The 21,068-nt window shown below is 43.3% G+C and overlaps 2 protein-coding genes and 1 long non-coding RNA gene across 12 annotated transcripts in view, besides 1 other annotated feature; 1 reads left to right on the top strand and 2 right to left on the bottom strand.

The window, feature by feature from the left end:
* The window catches only part of DHRS4L2 (dehydrogenase/reductase 4 like 2), a 36,535-nt gene extending 24,324 nt beyond the window's left edge, over window positions 1–12,211 (bottom strand). For 2 of the 3 annotated variants that reach the window (NM_001193636.1, NM_001193637.1), the window contains exon 1: window positions 11,753–12,211. The gene's annotated coding sequence lies outside the window, so the exon portion shown is untranslated. The remainder of the gene's footprint in view (window positions 1–11,752) is intronic. The other variant, NM_001193635.1, reaches the window with a different exon arrangement.
* Window positions 12,021–12,070: a silencer, noted in NCBI's record as "silent region_5614". NCBI's record gives its function as "represses an Ori minimal core promoter by ATAC-STARR-seq in GM12878 lymphoblastoid cells {active_cell/tissue: GM12878}" and the evidence as "EXISTENCE:reporter gene assay evidence [ECO:0000049][PMID:35858748]".
* Window positions 12,806–21,068, bottom strand: part of DHRS4 (dehydrogenase/reductase 4) — a 15,510-nt gene continuing 7,247 nt past the window's right edge. For 2 of the 8 annotated variants that reach the window (NM_021004.4, NM_001282988.2), the window contains 5 exons: window positions 16,253–16,323; window positions 16,102–16,153; window positions 15,668–15,802; window positions 14,819–14,874; window positions 12,806–13,328 (listed from right to left, as the gene is read on the bottom strand). In NM_021004.4, the coding sequence (NP_066284.2) occupies window positions 13,214–13,328; window positions 14,819–14,874; window positions 15,668–15,802; window positions 16,102–16,153; window positions 16,253–16,323 (429 nt within the window). In that variant the 3' untranslated portion in view covers window positions 12,806–13,213. Of the gene's footprint in view, window positions 13,329–14,401; window positions 14,875–15,667; window positions 15,803–16,101; window positions 16,154–16,252; window positions 16,324–17,118; window positions 17,508–21,068 lie in introns of those variants that run through there. The other 6 variants (NM_001282989.2, NM_001282991.2, NM_001282990.2 and 3 more) reach the window with 5 other exon arrangements.
* Window positions 15,014–17,203, top strand: LOC124903290 (uncharacterized). The gene is made up of 2 exons (XR_007064084.1): window positions 15,014–15,275; window positions 15,380–17,203. It is a non-coding gene; the product is annotated as an uncharacterized LOC124903290 (long non-coding RNA).

The raw sequence follows: 21,068 nt of genomic DNA, 5'->3' as shown, positions 1-21,068 counted from the left end.
AGCCCGACACCCATGAAGGGTCTGTGCTGAGGAGGATTAATAAAAGAGGAAGGCCTCTTGCAGTTGAGATAGAGGAAGGCCACTGTCTCCTGCCTGCCCCTGGGAACTGAGTGTCTTGGTATAAAACACGATTGTACATTTGTTCAATTCTGAGTTAGGAGAACAACCACCCTGTGGCAGGAGGTGAGACAAGTTTGCAGCAATGCTGCCTTGTTATTCTTTACTCCACTGAGATGTTTGGGTGGAGAGAAGCATAAATCTGGCCTACATGCACATCCAGGCATAGTACCTTCCCTTGAACTTATTTGTGACACAGATTCCTTTGCCACATGTTTTCTTGCTGACTTTCTCCCCACTATCACCCTGCTCTTCTGCTGCATTCCTCTTGCTGAGATAGTAAAAATAGTAATTAATAAATGCTGAGGGAACTCAGAGACTGGTGCCAGTGTGGGTCCTCTGTATGCTGAGTGCCAGTCCCCTGGGCCCACTTTTCTTTCTCTATACTTTGTCTCTGTGTCTTATTTCTTTCCTCAGTCTCTCATCCTGCCTGACAAGAAATACCCACAGGTGTGGAGGGGCTGGCCCCCTTCAGCTATATGGGCTCTTTTTTTGGTTCCATATGAAATTTAAAGTAGTTTTTTCCAATTTTGTGAAGAAAGTCATTAGTAGCTTGATGGGGATAGCACTGAATCTATAAATTACCTTGGGCAGTATGGCCATTTTCACGATATTGATTCTTCCTATCCATGAGCATGGACTGTTTTTCCATTTGTTTGTGTCCTCACTTATTTCCTTGAGCAGTGGTTTGTAGTTCTCCTTGAAGAGGTCCTTCACATCCCTTGTAAATTGGATTCCTAGGTATTTTATTCTCTTTGTAGCAGTCGCGAATGGGAGTTCACTCATGATTTGGCTCTCTGTCTATTATTGGCATATAGGAATGCTTCTGATTTTTGCACATTGATTTTGTATCCTGAGACTTTGCTGAAGTTGCTTATCAGCTTAAGGAGATTTTGAGCTGAGATGATGGCGTTTTCTAAATATACAATCATGTCATCTGCAAACAGAGACAATTTGACTTCCTCTTTTCCTAATTGAATACCCTTTATTTCTTCCTCTTGCCTGAGTGCCCTGGCTAGAAAACTTCCAATAGTATGTTGAATAGGAGTGGTGAGAGAATGCATCCTTGTCTTGTGCCGATTTTCAAAGGGAATGCATCCAGCTTTTGCCCACTCAGTATGATGTTGGCTGTGGGTCTGTCATAAATAACTCTTACTATTTTGAGATACGTTCTATCAATACCTAGTTTATTGAGAGTTTTTAGCATGAAAGGCTGTTGAATTTTGTCAAAGGTCTTTTCTGCATCTATTGAGATAATCATGTGGTTTTTGTCATTGGTTCTGTTTATGTGATGGACTATGTTTATTGATTTGCTTATGTTGAACCAGCCTTGTATCCCAGGAATAAAGCTAACTTGATCATGGTGGATAAGCTTTTTGATGTGTTGCTGGATTCAGTTTGCCAGTATTTTATTGAGGATGTTCTCAATGATGTTCATCAGGGATACTGGCCTGAAATTTTCTTTCTTTTGTTGTGTCTCTGCCAGCTTTTGGTATCAGGATGATGCTGGCCTCATAAAATGAGTTAGGGAGGAGTTCCTGTTTTTCTGGTGTTTGGAATAATTTCAGAAGGAATGGTACCAGCTCCTCTTTGTACCTCTGGTAGAATTCAGCTGTGAATCCGTCTGGTCCTGAGCTTTTTTTTGTTTGATAGGCCATGCATTACTGCTTCAATTTCAGAACTTGTTATTGGTCTATTTAGGGATTTGAATTCTTCCTGATTTAGTCTTGGGAGGGTGTATTCGTCCAGGAATTTATCTATTTCTTCCAGATTTTCTAGTTTATTTGCATAGAGTAGTTTATAGTATTCTCTGATGGTAGCTTGTATTTCTGTGGGATCAGTGGTGATATCCCCTCCATCATTTTTTATTGCACCTATTTGATTCTTCTCTCTTTTCTTCTTTATTGGTCTAGCTAGCAGTCTATCTATTTTGTTGATCTTATCAAAAAACCAGCTCCTGGATTCACTGGTTTTTTTGAAGGTTCTTTCCTGTCTCTGTCTCCTTCAGTTCTGCTCTGATCTTAGTTATTTCTTGTCTTCTCCTGGCTTTTGAATATGTTTGCTCTTGCTTTTCTAGTTCTTTTAATTGTGATGTTAGGGTGTTGGTTTTATATCTTTCCTGCTTTCTCCTGTGGGCATTTAGTGCTATAAATTTCACTCTAAACACTGCTTTGGCTGTGTCCCAGGGATTCTGGTACATAGTGTCTTTGTTCTCCCTGGTTTCAAAGAAGTTATTTATTTCTACTATAATTTCATTATATACCCAATAGTCATTCAGGAGCAGGTTGTTCAGTTTCCATGTAGTTGTGTGGTTTTGAGTGAGTTTCTTAATCTGAGTTCTAATCTGATTGCACCGCAGCCCGAGAGACTGTTTGTTATGATTTCCATTCTTTTGCATTTGCTGAGGAGGGTTTTACTTCCAATTATGTGATCAATTTTAGAATAAGTGCGATGTGGTGCTGAGAAGAATGTATATTCTGTTGACTTGGGGTGGAGAGTTCTGTAGATGTCTATTAGGTCTGCCTAGTCTAGAGCTGAGTTCAAGTCCTGGATATCCTTGTTAATTTTCTGTCTCATTGATCTGTCTAATACTGACAGTGGGGTGTTGGGGTGTTAACGTCTCCCATTGCTATTGTGTGGGAGTCTAAGTCTCTTTGTAGGTCTCTAAGCACTTGCTTTATGAATCTGGGTGCTCCTGTATTGGGTACATATATATTTAGGATAGTTAGCTCTTCTTGTTGAATTGATCCCTTTACCATTATGTAATGGCCTTGTCTCTTTTGATCTTTGTTGGTTTAAAGTCTGTTTTATCGGAGACCAGGATTGCAACCCCTGCTTTTTTTTGCTTTGCATTTGCTTGGTAAATATTCCTCCATCCCTTTATTTTGAGCCTATGTGTGTCTTGGCACATGAGATGGGTCTCTTGAATACAGCACAATGATGGGTCTTGACTCTTTATCCAATTTGCCAGTCTGTGTCTTTTACTTGGGGCACTTAGCCTGTTTACATTTAAGGTTAATATTGTTATGTGTGAATTTGATCCTGTCATTATGATGCTAGCTGGTTATTTTGCCCATTAGTTGACGCAGTTTCTTCATAGTGTCAATAGTCTTGACAATTTGGTATGGTTTTGCAGTGGCTGGTACTGGTTGATCCTTTCCATGTTTAGTGCTTCCTTCAGGAGCTCTTGTACATCAGGCCTGGTGGTGACAAAATCTCTCAGCATTTGCTTGTCTGTAAAGGATTTTATTTCTCCTTCACTTGTGAAGCTTAGTTTGGCTTCATAACCATTCCTCATGGCGCAGTCCTTCACAGCTTCCCTTGGCTAGGGGAGGGGGTCCTCTGACCCCTTGTGCTTCCTGAGTGAGGTGATGGCCACCCTGATTCAGCTGGCTCTTCATGGGCTGCACCCACTGTCTCACCAGTCCCAGTGAGTTGAGCCAGGTACCTCAGTTGGAAATGCAGAAATCACCTGCCTTCTGCATTGATCTCGCTGGGAGCTGCAGACTGGAGCTGTTCCTATTTGGTCATCTTGTCAGCCACCCTTTTTATTTTTTAAAATACATTCTTGGCTAATGAGTGGTACATAATAGACCTACTTTATTCTCTCTCTTCTTTTATAAAATAGCTGTACAGTATTCTATTGTGTGGCTATTCCATAATTTATTTAGCTAGTCTCCTACTGATGGATATTTAAGTAGCTTCCAGTGTTTTGCTATTTCAAACAATGCTATGGTGAACAACACTGGATGAATATGTATTTTTGTGTGTTTGGTACAAATACATTTGTACGCTGGGCCAAAGTTTTAAATTGATGGCTATGATGGTCAAATTACCTTAAAAAAGATTTGTCAACCTAAAATAATAAAAGGGTGAGAATTGAATTTAAGGAGTGTTTATTGAAGTGCAAAGTGTGAGGATGGACCATCTGGAAACATCAAATCCAAAGGAATGCAGTCAGCATTCTGAAGTGGAGAAGTTAAGGTTTCAATTTTATATCCAGAGAGAGAGGAGTGTTTAGCAAAATTATAACATTATTTGTACAAGGTTGGCACATAGTTACAGCCATTTGATCAGTTATACGCAGTGTTTATTTTTGGGAAGGATACAATTAACATGTTTTTTAGAGGGTGCAATAATTGTGGGTTTTTGTCATCTGGTCTAAGCAAAGCAGGACAACAATGGGAAATTAATATACAACAAGGGTCATTAATTAAGAAGGCCAGAGGTTTTTTTCCATGATGTCATTTAATTCTCTCTAGTCATTGTACAGAAGAAGAAAAATAAGAAAGCTAGTTCATCTATAATTTGAGAACAGAAGTTATAACCACATACGACTCAGATCACAGTCACGTCTCAAGGCTTAAAGTGATTTTGGGGGTTCCCACAGCTTTTAAATTTTATTTATTTTCACAGATTTAAGCAGTTTTGATGAATTTTTCCCCGTAAAGTGAATTTACCTGCTGCTCTACTCCCTTATGCATAGTATATAGAATGGCTTAAACTTTGGTGGTGGCTTAAGCTCAGTGATAAAATGGTAACACACTTTAGGTCGCAGTGGCCAACTTGCAGAACTGCAACTTGCAGATCTGAGGCACACCCAGTTCCACTCATGTTTGTCATTGAGAATGCTGGCTCAGCACTGCCAGCCCTTGGGGTATTTAAACAGAAGCTAGAAATCCAGATGGCAATAGGAAATATTTAAATTTTAAATGTAAGCCAATTATTTACTTAAAAAAGAACCCAGAAAAGAAAACAGTGAATGGATTTGTAGGTGCCAGAGGCTGACTGATATAGTCTATTTAAATGGAATGGATTATTAATTTTGTGAGATATTGCTCTATCTAGAATTTCTTTTTTTATTATTATACTTTGAGTTCTAGGGCACATGTGCACAACGTGCAGGTTTTTTACATAGGTATACATGTATCAGGTTGGTTTGCTGGATCCATCAACTCGTCATTTACATTAGGTATTTCTCCTAATGCTATCCCTCTCCCAGCCCCCCAGCCCCCAACAGACCCTGGTGTGTGATGATCCCCTCTCTGTTTCCATGTGTTCTCCTTGTTCCACTTCCACTTATGAGTGAGAAGATGCAGCGTTTGGTTTTCTGTCCTTGTGATATTTTGCTGAAAGTGATGATTTCCAGCTTCATCCATGTCCCTGCAAAGGACACGAACTCATCCTTTTTTATGGCTGCATAGTATTCCATGGTATACATGTGCCACATTTCCTTTATCCAGTCTATCATTGATGGGCATTTGGGTTGGTTCCAAGTTTTTGCTATTGTGAACAGTGCTGCAATAAACATATGTGTGTATGTGTCTTTATAGTAGAATGATTTATGATCCTTTGGGTAGATATCCAGTAATGGGGTTGCTGGATCAATTGGTATTTCTGGTTCTAGATCCTTGAGGAATGGCCACAGTGTCTTCCACAATGGTTGAACTAATTTACACTCCCACCAACAGTCTAAAAGCCTTCCTATTTCTCCACATCCTCTCCAGCTTCTATTGTTTCCTGACTTTTTAATGTTGCCATTCTAAGTGTTGTGAGATGGTATCTCATTGTGGTTTTGCTTTGCATTTCTCTGATGACCAGTGATGATGAGCATTTATTCATATGTCTGTTGGCTGTGTAAATGTCTTCTTTTGAGAAGTTTCTGTTCATACTTTTTACCCACTTTTTGATGGGGTTATTTTTTTTCTTGTAAATTTATTTAAGTTCTTTGTAGATTCTGAATATTAGACCTTTGTCAGATGGATAGATTGCAAGAATTTTCTCCTATTCTGTAGGTTGCCTTTTCACTCTGATGATAGTTTCTTTTGCTGTGCAGAAGCTCTTTAGTTTAGGTAGATCCCATTAGTCTATTTTGGCTTTTGTTGCCATTACTTTTGGTGTTTTTATCATGAAGTCTTTGCCCATGCCTATGTCCTGAATGGTACTGTCTAGGTTTTCTTCTAGGGTTTTTATGGTTTTAGGTCTTACATTTAAGGCTTTAATCCATCTTGAGTTAATTTTAGTATAAGGTGTAAGGAACGCATGCAGTTTCAGCTTTCTACATATGGCTAGCTAGTTTTCCCAGCACCATTTATTAAATAGGGAATCCTTTCCCCATTGCTTGTTTCTGTCAGGTTTGTCAAAGAGCAGATGGTTGAAGATGTGTGGTGTTATTTCTGAGGCTTCTGTTCTGTTCCATTATTTCTGAGGCCTCTGTTCTGTTCCATTGGTCTAGATATGTTTTGGTACCGGTACCATGCTGTTTTGGTTACTGTAGCCTTGCAGTATAGTTTGAAGTCAGGTAGTGTGACGCCTCCAGCTTTGTTCTTTTTGCTTATGATTTCCTTGGCTATACTGGCTCTTTTTTGGTTCCATATGAAATTTAAAGTAGTTTTTTCCAATTCTGTGAGGAAAGTCAGTGGTAGCTTGATGGGGATAGCATTGAGTCTATAATTTACTTTGGGCAATATGGCCATTTTCATGATATTGAGTCTTCCTATCGATGAGCATGCAATATTCTTCCATTTGTTTGTGTCCTCACTTATTTCCTTGAGCAGTGGTTTGTAGTTTTCCTTGAAGAGGTCCTTCACATCCCTTGTAAGTTGGATTTCTAGGTATTTTATTCTCTTTGTAGCAATTGTGAATGGGACTTCACTCATGATTTGGCTCTCTGTCTATTATTTGCATATAGGAATGCTTGTGATTTTTGCACATTGATTTTGTATCCTGAGACTTTGCTGAAGTTGCTTATCAGCTTAAGGAGATTTTGGGCTGAGATCATGGGGTTTCTAAATATACGGTGAAATCATCTGCAAACAGAGACAATTTGACTTCCTCTTTTCCTAATTGAATACCCTTTATTTCTTCCTCTTGCCTGATTGCCCTGGCCAGAACTTCCAATACTATGTTGAATAAGAGTGGTGAGAGAATGCATCCTTATGCTGGATTCGGTTTGCCAGTATTTTATTGAGGATTTTTGCATTGATGTTCATCAGGGATACTGGCCTAAAATTTTCTTTGTTTTGTTGTGTCTCTGCCAAGCTTTGATATCCGGATGATTCTGGCATTATAAAATGAGTTAGGGAGGATTCTTTCTTTTTCTATTGATCGGTATAGTTTCAGAAGGAATAGTACCAGCTCCTCTTTGTACCTCTGGTAGAATTCGGCTATGAATCCATCTGGTCCTGGACTTTTTTGGTTTGGTAGGCTATTAATTATTGCCTCAATTTCAGAAGCTGTTATTGGTCTATTCAGCAATTCAACTTCGTCCTGATTTAGTCTGCAGAAGGTGTATGTGTCCAAGAATTTATCCAATTCTTCTAGGTTTTCTAGTTTATTTGCATAGAGGTGTTTATAGTATTCTCTGATGGTAGTGTGTATTTCTGTGGGATCACTGGTGATATCCCCTTTATGATTTTTTATTGTGTCTATTTGACTCTTCTCTCTTTTCTTCCTTATTAGTCTTGCTAGCAGTCCATTTTGTTGATCTTTTCAAAAATCCAGCTCCTGGATTCATTGATCCTTTGAAGGTTTTTTTTTTAATGTCTCTATCACCTTCAGTTCTGCTCTGATCATCATTATTTGTTGTCTTCTGCTAGCTTTTGAATTTGTTTGCTCTTGCTTCTCTAGTTCTTTTAATTTTGAGGTTAGGGTGTTGATTTTAGATCTTTCCTGCTTTCTCTTGTGGGTATTCAGTGCTGTAAATATCCCTCTACACACTGTTTTAAATGTGTCCCAGAGATTCTGCTACACTGTGTCTTTGTTCTCATTGGTTTCAAAGACCATGTTTATTTCTGCCTTCAGTTTGTTATTTACCTAGTAGTCATTCAGGAGCAGGTTGTTCAGTTTCCATGTAGTTGTGCAGTTTTGAGTGAGTTTTTCAGTCCTGAGTTCTAATTTGATTGCACTGTGGTCTGGGAGACAGTTTGTTGTGATTGCTGTTCTTTGGCATTTGCTGAGGAGTGTTTTACTTCCAATTATGTGGTCAATTTTAGAATAAGTGTGATGTGGTGCTGAGAAGAATGTATATTGTGTTGACTTGGGGTGGAGAGTTCTGTAGATGTGTATTAGGCCTACTTGGTCTAGAGCTGAGTTCAAGTCCTGGACATCCTTATTAATTTTGTCATGTTTTCTGTCTAATATTAACAGTGGGGTGTTACTGTCTCCCATTACTATTGTATGGGAGTCTAAGCCTCTTTGTAGGTCTCTAAGAACTTGCTTTATGAATCTGGGTTCTCCTGTATTGGGTGCATATATATTTAGGATAGTTAGCTCTTCTTGTTGAACTGATCCCCTTACCATTATGTGATGGCCTTCTTTGTCTCCTTTCATCTTTGTTGGTTTAATGTCTGTTTTATCAGAGACCAGGATTGCAATCCCTGCTTTTTTTTGCTTTCCATTTGTTTTGTAGATCTTCCTCCATCCCTTTGAGAGGTGGCAGTGTGCTGGCAGCCCTCGCTCACTCTTGGCACCTCCTCAGCCTCAGCACCCACTCTGGCCACGCTTGAGGAGCCCTTCAGCCCGCCGCTGCACTGTGGGAGCCCCTTTCTGGGCTGGCTGAGACTGGAGCTGGCTTCCTCAGATTGCAGGGAGGTGTGGAGGGAGAGGCATGGGCGGGAACTGGGGCTGTGCGCAGCACTTGCAGGCCAGCACGAGTTCTGGGTGGGTGTGGCCTTGGCGGCACAATGCACTGCAGAAAGCCACAGGGACCTCTGCCCTTGAAAGCAGGGTATTGTCCAAGGTTTCTCCCCATGTGATAGTCTGAAATATGGCCTCATGGGATGAGAAAGACCTGACTGTCCCCCAGCCTGACACCCATAAAGGGTCTGTGCTCTGGTGGATTAGTAAAAGAGGAAAGCCTCTTGCAGTCGAGATAGAGGAAGGCCACTGTCTCCTGCCTGCCCATGGGAACTAAATGTCTCGGTATAAATCCCGATTGTACATTTGTTCAATTCTGAAATGAGAGAAAAACTGCCCTATGGTGGGAGGCGAGACATGTTTGCAGCAATGCTGCCTTGTTATTCTTTACTCCACCGACATGTTTGGGTGGAGAGAAACATAAATCTGGCTTACGTGCACGTCCAGTCATAGTACCTTCCCTTGAACTGAATTATGATGTAGATTCTATTGCTCACGTTTGTTGCTGACCTTCTCCTTATTATCACCCTGCCCTCCTACTACATTCCTTTTTACTGAAATAATGACGATAATAATCAATAAAAACTGAGGGAATTCAGAGACCGGTGCCGGTGCAGGTCCTTGGTATGCTGAGCGCCGGTCCCCTGGACTCACTGTTGTTTCTCTATACTTTGTCTCTGTGTCTTATTTCTCTTTCTCAGTCTCTTGTCCCACCTGACTAGAAATACCCACAGGTGTGGAGGGGCAAGCCACCCCTTCAAGCAGTAGCAACCCGCTTGGGTCCCCTTCCACACTGTGGAAGCTTTGTTCTTTCACTCTTTGCAATAAATCTTGCTGCTGCTCACTCTTTGGGTCCACACTGCCTTTATGAGCTGTAACACTCACCGTGAAGGTCTGCAGCTTCACTCCTGAGGCCAGTGAGGCCACGAACCCACCAGGAGGAATGAACAACTCCAGACAGGAGGAACGAACAACTCCAGACATGCTGCCTTAAGAGCTGTAACACTCACTGCGAAGGTCCGCAGCTTCACTCCTGAAGCCAGCAAGACCACGAACCCACCAGAAGGAAGAAACTCTGAACATGTCTGAACATCAGAAGGAACAAACTCCAGACACGCTGCCTTTAAGAACTGTAACACTCACCGCGAGGGTCCGCAGCTTCATTCTTGAAGTCAGTGAGACCAAGAACCCACCAATTCCAGACATACCTTCATTTTGGGCCTATGTGTGTCTTTGCATGTGAGATGGGTCTCCTGAATACAGCACACCATATGGGTCTTGATTCTTTATCCAATTTGCCAGTCTGTGTCTTTTAATTGGGGCATTTATCCCATTTACATTGAAGGTTAGTATTGTTATATGTGAATTTGATCCTGTCATGACGTTAGCTGGTTATTTTGCCCATTAATTGATGCAGTTTCTTCATAGCATCAATGGTCTTTACAATTTCGTATGTTTTTGCAGTGGCTGGTACCCGTTGTTCCTTTCCATGTTTAGTGCTTCCTTCAGGAGCTCTTATTGTAAGGCAGGCCTGGTGGTGACAAAATCTCTCAGCATCTCCTTGTCTGCAAAGGATTTTATTTCTCATTCACATACGAAGCTTAGTTTGGCTGGATATGAAATTCTAGTTTCAAAAATCTTTTCTTTCAGAATGTTGAATATTGGTCCCAACTCTTTTCTGGTTTGTATGGTTTCTGCTGAGAGATCTGCTGTTAGTCTGATGGGCTTCCCTTTGTTGGTCACCCAACCTTTCTCTCTGGCTGCCCTTAACCTTGCTGAGTCTGACAATTATGTGTCTTGGGGTTGCTCTTCTCAAGGAGTATCTTTGTGATGTTCTCTGTATTTCCTGAATTTGAATGTTTCTTTTTTATTTTTTTGTCTCTAATCTTGTCTTCTCACTTTATTTCATTAATTTTATCTTCAATCACTGATATCCTTTCTTCCACTTGATTGAATCAGCTATTGAAGCTTGTGTATCCTTCATGAAGTTCTTGTACTGTGGTTATCAGCTCCATCAGGTCATTTAAGCTCTTCTCTACATTCTTCATTCTAGTTAGCCATTCGTTTAACCTTTTTTTGAAGGTTTTTAGCTTCCTTGTAATGGGTTAGAACATGTTCCTTTAGCTGGGAGTAGTTTGTTATTACTGACCTTCTGAAGCTTAACTTCTGTCAAGTTATCAAACTTATTCTCCATCCAGTTTTGTTCCCTTGCTGGTGAGGACTTGTATTCCTTTGGAAGAGAAGAGACGTTCTGGTTTCTGGAAGTTTCAGCATTTCTGCTCTGGTTTCTCTCCATCTTTGTGGTTTTATCTACCTTTGGTCTTTGATGTTGGTGACCTATGGATGGGGTTTTAGTGTGGATGTCCTTTGCTATTCTGATGTTGATGCTGTCCTTTGCTGATGTTGATGCTATTCCTTTCTGTTTGTTAGTTTTCCTTCTAACAGGCCCCTCAGCTGCAGGTCTTTGGGGGTTTGCTGGAAGTCCATTCCAGACCTTATTTTCTTGGGTATCAGTAGAGGAGGCTGCAGAACAGCAAATATTGCTGCCTGATCCTTCTTCTGGAAGCTTTGTTCCACAGGGGCACCCACCTGTATGAGGTGTCTCTCCGCCCCTACTGGTCGGTGTTTTTCAGTCAAGCTACATGGGGGTCAGGGACCCACTCGGGGAGGCAGTCTGTCCGTTATCGGAGCACGAACTCCGTGCTGGGAGAACCACTGCTGTCTTTAGAGATGTCAGGCAAGGACACTGAAGTCTGCAGAAGCTGTCCGCTGCCTTTTGTTCAGATATGCCCTGGCCCCTGAGGTGGAATCTGGAGAGGCAGTAGGCCTTGCTGAGCTGCGGTGGGTTCCGCCCAGTTAGAGCTTCCCTGCAGCTTTGTTTACACTGTGATCATAGAACGCCTACTGAAGCCTTAGCAATGGAGGACTTCCCTCCCCCACGGCCCCGTTAACTGATGCAGTTTCGGCCCCCCGCCCCCCACCGCCCTCTCCACCCTACCTGTCAAGCTCCAGCTCCAGCGGAGGATGCTCCAGGGACAGCGATGTCAGGACTGAGATGCAGGGGCTGCCTTAGAGTCTGGATGCTTGGGGTAGCGGGGTGTGAGGCACCGGGCCGGGGTGCAGGGCCGGAAGGAACGTGCTGGATCTGGGATGCTACCAGACGGGGCGTCCCAAAGACCGAGGCAGTCCCGTACCTTACAACTCTCAGATGAGCTCCACGGTGGGCTTGGCCACCCTGACCCCTACTGCCGAGGCTGCTGCAGAGGAGCCGCCGCCACCCACACCGCTGTGGAGCAGCCGCACATGCTAGACTCCGCTTCAGTAAAGCCCGGGCGGTGAGGGCTGCCGCAGAGGCGAGCCCGCTCCAGACAGTGGCGGTTGCGTGAGCGCCCCTCCCCCCACCGGGCCTTGGAGCGCGGGCTCCCACGCCGGCCCGGAGAGCTGCCCGACTGAGCATGCGCGTCGCGCTGCCGAGCCTCCTGAGAGCCCGCGGGCTGGCGCCGACCTTTCTTGCCGGCTCCGGCGTGAGAGGCCCGTCGGCGTGAGAGGCTCAGCGTGTGTCGCCCAGTGTCAGTGCCTTTGGGGCGGGGGACAGCGTCCCCACTTTCCTTCTACTGAATCCTCGGGCCCGTGGGCAGAACCCATTGCTTTTGTTTGTGGGCCTGGGTACCTTGCAGGGCCTTTCTCTATTCCCCACCGGCTCAGGACCCATCCAGCTTGTACTTGCTGACTCGGGAGGGAACTCGGGTCGTAGGGCCATGCGGGGAGAGGACCTGGCCTGATCTGGGAGGCAAGGGGCGGGGAGGTGTTAGAGAGTTCATCCTTCCCCACTCTCTCCGGGCTCGCGCTGCCTCGGGGATTCCCGTGGCGTCCTGGGAGTTCCCGTGCCACCTTCCTTCCAGCTGGCAGCTCTGCAGACACCTCCACCCGTGAACATCACGCTCAAGTTCTGGAGACAGGGAGGAGGGCTGGGGGATCCAGAGATCCAGCCTGAATAGACTTCTGCTCTCTGCTCAGCTAAGCACCCAACACTGAGAAATGAACAGGTCAATTGGATTCAAAGCCGCGCAATCATCTGCATTTTATTTGCACCTCATTTGCAAGTTGTTAATTTGCAACTCTGCTCCTTCCACTCCAGGTTCCTTCTCTCCCATCACCCCTCAGATTCCCCAGTGGCCCGGGAAAAAATATCTTGGTCTTTGCCAAGGTAGACTCAGCCTTGTCAGCAGGCCTGTCCTGTGTTCTCAGGGGAGGCCTTTACCCAAGGCCACAACAACAGCAGAAATCCCGAGTAAGACGCCACCTTGACGGCAGGGAAGGCTGGATCTTTTCACAGGGCAGAACTGATTTGATGAGGTGAACAGTAAGGTGAGCAGAGGTGGGAAAGGCCAGTGGGTGAATGCGGGAACAGCACCAGGAGCTAGAGCCCAACTCTGGCCTGTGGGCTGTCTCCCGGTCCTCAGAGGCGGGACGGGGTTCCTCCACCCACCACCACTGTTTCCCCAGTGATGTAGCTGGCATCTTCAGAGCACAGGAAAGACACGATGCCAGCACAATCCTCTGGCTCGCCTAACCTGGGGAATAAGGGAAGCAAGGAAGGAGGTAAAAATCAAACAGTTCTGCCTCCCTCACCTGGGACACAGGGAGTTAAATTTGCTTAATCAAGAATTATCAGATGGCTTTTTCAGGGTCAGTGTACAAGCTTTCTGCCTATCAAATAGGGTTACCACGAGGATATGCTGTTATAATTTAGTATAAGCATACTGTACTCTGCAAAACTATTACCCATAATATTCAAATACTATAGAAACACACCGGTTTTTAGAGAGCTCAGGACACCAAAATCCAAAGTTATATAGATAAAATGGTGAGCAATTATTTCATACTTCAAAAAAATGGTTTCACATGTGCACACACTAAAGTATCAGGGAGTCTGTGTGACAGTAAATGGTGTGTTTAAAATGATTCCATTTGTACAGGTTCAGCTTAGAACTTTTTCAGGAATCTATACTTGTGCCTTAAAGTCAGGTTCATTTAGTGAGAATGTGCTAATTCTTATTTTATCAGTGACTGCATAGTTAGGAGACACTTTAATCTCCCTGCCATAGAATGCTCTAGAGGTGGGCAGAGTGAGTAACTCAAACCTAGAAGGGCTGAATTAATGCTTCTCCATTCTACTTGTATCTTGCAATCATTTGAGAGGCTTAAACCAAAAAAGAAAAGAAAAGAAAAGACAAAGAAAAACAAAAGCCCAGATGGTCAAGTCCTACCTTGGACCAATTAAAAAGAATCTCTGGGAGTGGGTGGGGCCTGAGCACCTGCAGTTTAAAAAGCTCCCCAGGTGATTCTAATGTGAATCCAGTATTGAGCTACATGGGCTAGATCATTCATTGGTGCTCTAGGTTGACAATCCCCTCACTTATTAATGAGTTATGAACCAGGCCTGCAGCTCATGTCTCACATCAGAATGGCTTTGGGAAGATTTGGGATGTCTGGACGAGTACAGAGTTAGGCATTACTGGCATTTGTCCTTGAAGCCAGAAGGTAGAGAGAGGCAGGGAACTTAGAGGAAAGGGAGCCCGACAAAGGTGCTTGAACAGTTCACCCAGCTCACTGGGGAAGAAAGTAACTCCTTAGGCAAGGGGAGTTTGGGGCTTAGTAAAACTCTTCATTCTTTTCATTTGGATTGTAGATCATCAACCTGAGTTTTGTAAACATGTGTCATTATTCAAGGGGACTAACAAAGCATGGTTTTGGTTATGGTCCCTGGTCTCCATGGATGCTCAGAGGTGGAGGCAATCCCCCAGGTGGAGAGAGGACTCAGGGCTTCTCCCAGAGCTCTGCACTGCTGAAACCCCGATGTCTCTGTGTTTACCTTTTGAAAGGGAAGCTGACTTCTTGCTCAGGTCACTGTAGTGATAGTGTTTATGAATTCGTGGTCTGTGAGGCAGAAGAGAGCCTGCCTGTGTTATCTGTGGGACTGAGACAGCGGGCTGTGGGCTGCTAGGGACCAGACCTTCCCATCTTCATGTCTCTTAGTGCCCTTGCCCTCATGACAGTTTACCTTCTTATCCGCAGGGTTTCTTTCATGCTTTCCTCTTTTTCCTTGTCCATCCAGAGCTGCAGGAAGAAGGGAAATCTCTTTATGTTTTTTTTTTCTTTTTCTTTTTCTTTTTAGAGACGGAGTCTTGCTCTTTTGCCCAGGCCGGACTGTAGTGGCGCTATCTTGGCTCACTGCAAACTCCGCCTCCCGGGTTATGCCATTCTCCTGCCTCAGCCTCCCGAGTAGCTGGGATTACAGGCGCTCGCCACTGCGCCCGGCTAATTTTTTGTATTTTTAGTAGAGACGGGGTTTCACCGTGTTAGCCAAGATGGTCTCGACCTCCTGACCTCGTGATCTGCCCGCCTCGGCCTCCCAATGTGCTGGGATTACAGGCATGAGCCACCCCACCCAGAAATCTCTTTATGTTTAAGAAGAGGAAAGTGAAGAACGGAAAGGGAAGAAACTGCCCATCCTCATGGTAACTGAGAGGAGGGATGGGGAGAGAGACTTCCCTCTTTCACTTCCTATTTTTTTCTAGCTCCCAGCTCTCCCCACTGCCCTCATCTGTTTCATTTGTTTCAGGTTCTAGTGATGCATTTTGCTGCGTCTCTCCAATTCTCATCCATGTAAGGAGGGAGGAAACAGTGTGAGTACAGTCTGAATACCTCAGTCTCCAGCCTATACCTCAGAAAAGGTGTGATAAGAGTGTGGCTTGTATAGGGCAGGTGGTACAGAGAGGGAATATGGGAAAGTCCAGGGAAGGAGAATGGAGTGGCTGAGAGCTCAGGACTCAGGTAGTGGGCTTCCCTGTCCAAGAAGATGGATGCCTTTCAAGGGGTCCCAGTCAAATGCAAAGCTCCCCTTCCTCACCATCCTGCTGAAGCTAGTCTTGATAAGTCCAGGTGCTAGGCAGTTCACCCTAATGTTCCTTGGGGCCAGCTCTATGGCCAGGGTCTTGGTCAGGCCCAGCAAGGCTGTTTTACTGACATTGTAAGGACTGAAGCCCTGGAGAAAGAAGAGAATGTGTTAGACTCATAGTTTCCAGGTCATTCTTGGTTCTAATAACTAGACATAGAGGGCAGTGCTCAATAGGGATCTCCTGTAAGGGAGGGGCAGAGTTAGGGAACTGTCTTGTGGCTAAACCTCCCCTAGGTTGTGGTTTGTGGAGGCAAGGCATCTATTTTGTGGGCAGGGACTTGGTGGTGTGATTCTACAAGGGGACACAAACTTCCTTGGGTAATAGGAGGGGTGGAAAGATGTGGAGTGGAGGGTGGGATGGAAGAGGTAGACAAAAGGGTTCTTACAGGAGATGGACTGAAGGCTGCTATGGAAGACACGATCACCACTGAGCCGCCTCTGGAAAAAGAAGAGAGCTGACCATCTTCCCATTGTGGACCAGTGCCCTCAGCCCGTGTGGTGTCCCCTCTCACCCAGGCTCTCTCTCACTCTCTGTACCCTCGTTTCTCCATTTCTGGCACCACTGCCTTTGTCATCAGGGCTGGGGCCTTCACATTAATGTCCAGAGTCTGAAGCCAAGAGAAGAAGGGGAAACAGCATGAGTGAAGAGCACTGGAGGAGGCATGAAAAAATGAGGAGTTAGAGTGGGTTCCTAGGATGTTTGTCAGAGCTGACGAAGATCTTAGGATGATATACCTGCATCTTACACATGAAGGAACTGAGGTTCAGGGAGAAGTAGCTCTCACCAGCTGCTCAGCTAGATATTGATACATTAGGTTCAGGTGAGCAAAAATGGAGCCTGGTTCATCTTGTTTCATAATCAGCCAAGTATGATTTGGGCCAGAAGGGGCCTTTGGATTTGAGCTGTGTTTTCTCTGTTTCTTCCAAGTAGGTAGAGCCTGGAATTGTCAGCCTCCTGGACCTGCCCTAGACTACCTGCCCTAGAGTAGGCCATGCTTCTCAGGGAAAATGTGGCCTGACCTTGGATATGTGGGGTTGTTCTAGCACTTCTCTGGCTTCTGGGCTTAGGGAGTGAGATGTTCTTGGCCCTCTAGGAAGGACTGTCTGGCTAGGCATGGTTAGAAAGTGGGATCATGAGGAGTCACCTTCTGGGGAAGCTGGGGGACAGGCTACAATCAGAATCCCCACATCCATAATCTAAAACAAATGTATGACCCTGTTTACACTGTTCTAGACAACTGCTTATATTAAAATATTTCAATCTTACAGAAAAATTGGAGATAGAAGTACAATGAATGTCTAGATATCCTTCACTTAGATTCACCAATTGTTCACATTTTGTCCTATTTGTCCTCTCTGTAGATCTGTACAGTTTTTTAAATGAACCATTGAAACTCAGTTGCAAGTTTTCTGAAAGATTTTATATAATAAAATCAAAAATTACAAAGAACAAAAATAAAAAAATGTAAATTAAAAAAAAAAAACAAACTCAGGGCTGGGCATGGTGGCTCATGCCTGCAATCCCTGCACTTCGGGAGGCCAAGATGGGTGGATCACTTTTAGGTCAGGAGTTCGAGAACAGCCTGGGCAACATGGCAAACCTCGTCTGTACTAAAAATACAAAAATTAGCCAGACGTGGTGGCATGTGTTTGTAATCCAAGCTACTCAGGAGGATGAGACAGCAGAATAGCTTGAACCCGGGAGGTGGAGGTTGCAGTGAGCTGAGATAGCACCACTGCACTCCAGCCTGGGTAACAGAGTGAGGCTCCATCACAAAAATAAATAAATAACCTAAAATAAAATAAGTAAACTCAGTTGCAGATAGTACAATGTTCTATCCCCAAATACTTAGCATACATTTCCAAAGAGTAAGGATTTTCTTTTACACAACCATAATCTGTTATCACAACCAAGAGTTTGACAATGATGATAATTTTATCTAACATATTGGCCTCAATTATCCCCCAAATGTGTGTGTGTGTTTTTTAAAGTCCAGAGTTCAATCAAGGATCAGCCATTATGTTTGGATTTGTCATACTGTGATAGTTTAAAAAATATACAAATTAAAAGAAAAGTTATAGACACATATTTTCTTATGCTTTGCAGATATTGTGTTTTTTTTTTTTTTTTTTTTTTTTTTTTTTTTTTACAAATTGCAGTTTCGTGGCAACCCTGCATTAATTCGAGCCATTTTTCCAATTGCATGTGCTCACTTTGTCTCTGGGTCACATTTTGGTAATTCTTGGAATATTTCAGACCTTTCCATTATTATTGTATCTGTTACGGTGATCTGTGATGAGTGATCTTTCATGGTTTTATTATAATTGTTTTGGGGTACCACAAACCACACCCAGAAAAGAAGGTCAACTTAATCGAAAAATGTTGTGTGTTCTGACTGCTCTGCCCTTCTCTCATCTCTCTCCCTCTCTGTGGGCCTCCATATTCCCTGAGACACATTTACATTGAAATTAGGCCAACTATTAACCCTACAATGGCTTGTAAGTGTTTAAGCAAAAGGAAGAGTCACACATCTTTCACTTTAAATCAAAAGCTAGAAACAATTAAGCTTAGTGAGGAAGGCATGTTGAAAGCTGAGGCAGGCTGAAAGTTAGACCATGTGCACCAGTTAGCCAAATTGTGAATGCAAAGGAAAAATTCTTGAAGGAAATTAAAAGTGCTACTTCTCTGAACATATAAATGATAAGAAAGCAAAAGAGGTTTATTGTTAATATGGAGAGAAAGTTCTTATGTTCTGGACAGAAGATCAAACTAGCCACAACATTCCCTTAAGCCAAAGCCTAATCAGTAAAAGGCCCTAATTTTTAATTCTTTGAAGGCTGAGAGAGGTGAAGAAGCTCCGGAAAAGTTGGAAGCTAGCAGTGGTTGGTTCATGAGGTTTAAGAAGCCACCTCTGTAACATAAAAGTGCAAGATGAAGCAGCGAGTGCTGATGTAGAAGCTGCAGCCAGTTATCCAGAAGATCTAGCTAAGATCATTGATGAAGGTGGCTACAGCAAACAACAGATTTTCAATGTAGATGAAACAACCTTCTAGTGGAAGAAGATGCCATGTAGGGCTTTAATAGCTAGAGAGGAGAAGTCAATGCCTGGCTTCAAAACTTCAAAGGACAGGCTTATTCTCTTGTTAGGGGCTAATGCAGCCAGTGACTTTAAGTTGAAGCCAATGCTCATTTACCATTCTGAAAATTCTAGGGCCCTCAGATTTACGCTAAATCTACTCTGCCTGTGCTCTGCAAATGGAACAACAAAGCCTGAATAACAGCACATCTGTTTATAGCATGGTTTACTGAATATTTTAAGCTCACCGTTGATAGCTACTGCTCAGAAAAAGATTCCTTTCAAACTGTTACTGCTCATTGACAATGCACCTGGTCACTCAAAAGCTCTGATGGAGATGTACAAGGAGATTAATGTTGTTTTCATGCCTGCTAACACAACATCCATTCTGCAGCCCATGGATCGGGGGTAATTCTGACTTCCAAGACTTATTATTTAAGAAATACATTTTGTAAGGCTATAGCTGCCATGGATAGTGATTCCTCTGATGGATCTCGGCAAAGTTAACTGAAAACCTTCTGTAAAGGATGCACCATTTTAGATGCCATTAAGAATATTTGTGATTCATGGGAGGAGGTCAAAATATCTACATTAACAGGAGTCTGGAAGAAGTTGATTCCAACCCTCATGGATGACGTGGAAGGGTTCAAGACTGCATCAGAGGAAGGAACTGCAGATGTGGTGGAAATAGCAAGAGAACTAGAAGCGGAGCTGGAAGATGGGACTGAATTGCTACAATCTCACGATAAAATGTAGATGGCTGAGGAGCTGGTTCTTACGGATAAGCAAAGAAAGTGGTTTCTTGGGATGGAATCTATTTCTGGTGAAGATGCCATGAATATTGTTGAAATCACAACACGGGATTCAGAATATTATAGGTACTTAGTAGAGTAAGCAGTGGTAGAGTTTGATAGGATTGACTCCAATTTTGAAAGAAGTTCTACTGTGGGTAAATGCTATCAAACAGGATTGCATGCTACAGAGAAATCTCTTGTGAAAGGAAGAGTCAACTGATGTGGCAAACTTCACTGCTGTCTTATTTGAAAAAACTGCCACAGCCACCCCAGCCTTCAGCAACACCACCCTAAGTCAGCCACCATCAATGTTGAGGCAAGATCCTCCACCAGCAAAAAGATTACAAGTTGTAAAGGCTCAGATGATTGTCAGCATTTTTTTAGCAATAAAGTATTTTAAAATTAAGATACGTATATATATTTTAAAACATAATGCTATTGCTCAGTTAATAGACTTCCATTAGATGATCATTATAATGTAAACCTAACTTTTATATGCACTGGGAAACCAAAAAATTCATGTGACTCACTTTATTATAATATTCACTTTATTGTGTGGTGGCCTGGAACCAGACCCACAATATCTCTGAGGCGTGCCTGTACTTAGTTTAAAACTGACTTTCATATGGTCTCTATTCAGACTGTTCATGAATGATGCTCCTCTATTTTAAAGACTATCAGAATCTGGCTGTGTGTGGTGGCTCATGCCTGCAATCCCAATATTTTGGGGGGCTGAGGTGTGGGGATCAGTTGAGGCCAGGAATTTGAGACCAGCCTGAGCAACACAGTGAAACCGCATCTCAATACAAAAAATTAGCCAGGCATGATGGCACATGCCTGTAGTCCCAGGTACTTGGGAGGCTGAGGCACAAGAATCGCTTGAACCTGGGAGGCTGAGGTTGCAGTGAGCTGAGATCACACCACAGCCCTCTAGCCTCAATGACACAGCGAGGGAAAAAAAAAAAAAAAGGAAAAAAGACAGAGCAAGAGTCTGTCTAAAAAAAGAAAGAAAGAAGCCAAACTTAAATGGTTAGCAGCAAATCTCTGGGTAGTTTTGAAGAAAAGACGGTTTAAGAAAGAGAAGTTATTTTGATGATAGTTCCTAAGAAGGAAGGTTTTGTTGTCATTGTTGTTGTTGTTGTTTTTAATATAGAGAAAAGGTCTCGCTGTGTTGCCCAGCCTTCTCTCAAACTAGCTCAAACTAGAATCAAAAACTAGCTCACTGAAGAACATTTTGGCAGTTTGGTCTTTATGTGTATGAAACACTGGTAAATAAATCATAGTATTTTGGCAACCTGATACTTTAGTGTTGAGAAATTTTGATGACATCTGATATAGTTGGTAAGTTTGTCCCCTCTAAGTCCCATGTTGAAATGTGATCACCAGTGTTCCAGGTGGGGCCTGGTGTGAGGTGTTTGGGTCATGAGGGTGGATCCCTTATGAATGGCTTGGTGCCCTCCCTGTGGCAGTGAGTGAGTTCTC

Source organism: Homo sapiens, chromosome 14 (genome assembly GCF_000001405.40).
Source record: "Homo sapiens chromosome 14, GRCh38.p14 Primary Assembly".
NCBI classification, from domain to species: Eukaryota; Metazoa; Chordata; class Mammalia; order Primates; family Hominidae; genus Homo; species Homo sapiens.
Note: the sequence above shows the minus strand (reverse complement) of the source record. Positions and strands in the feature narration are given on the sequence as shown.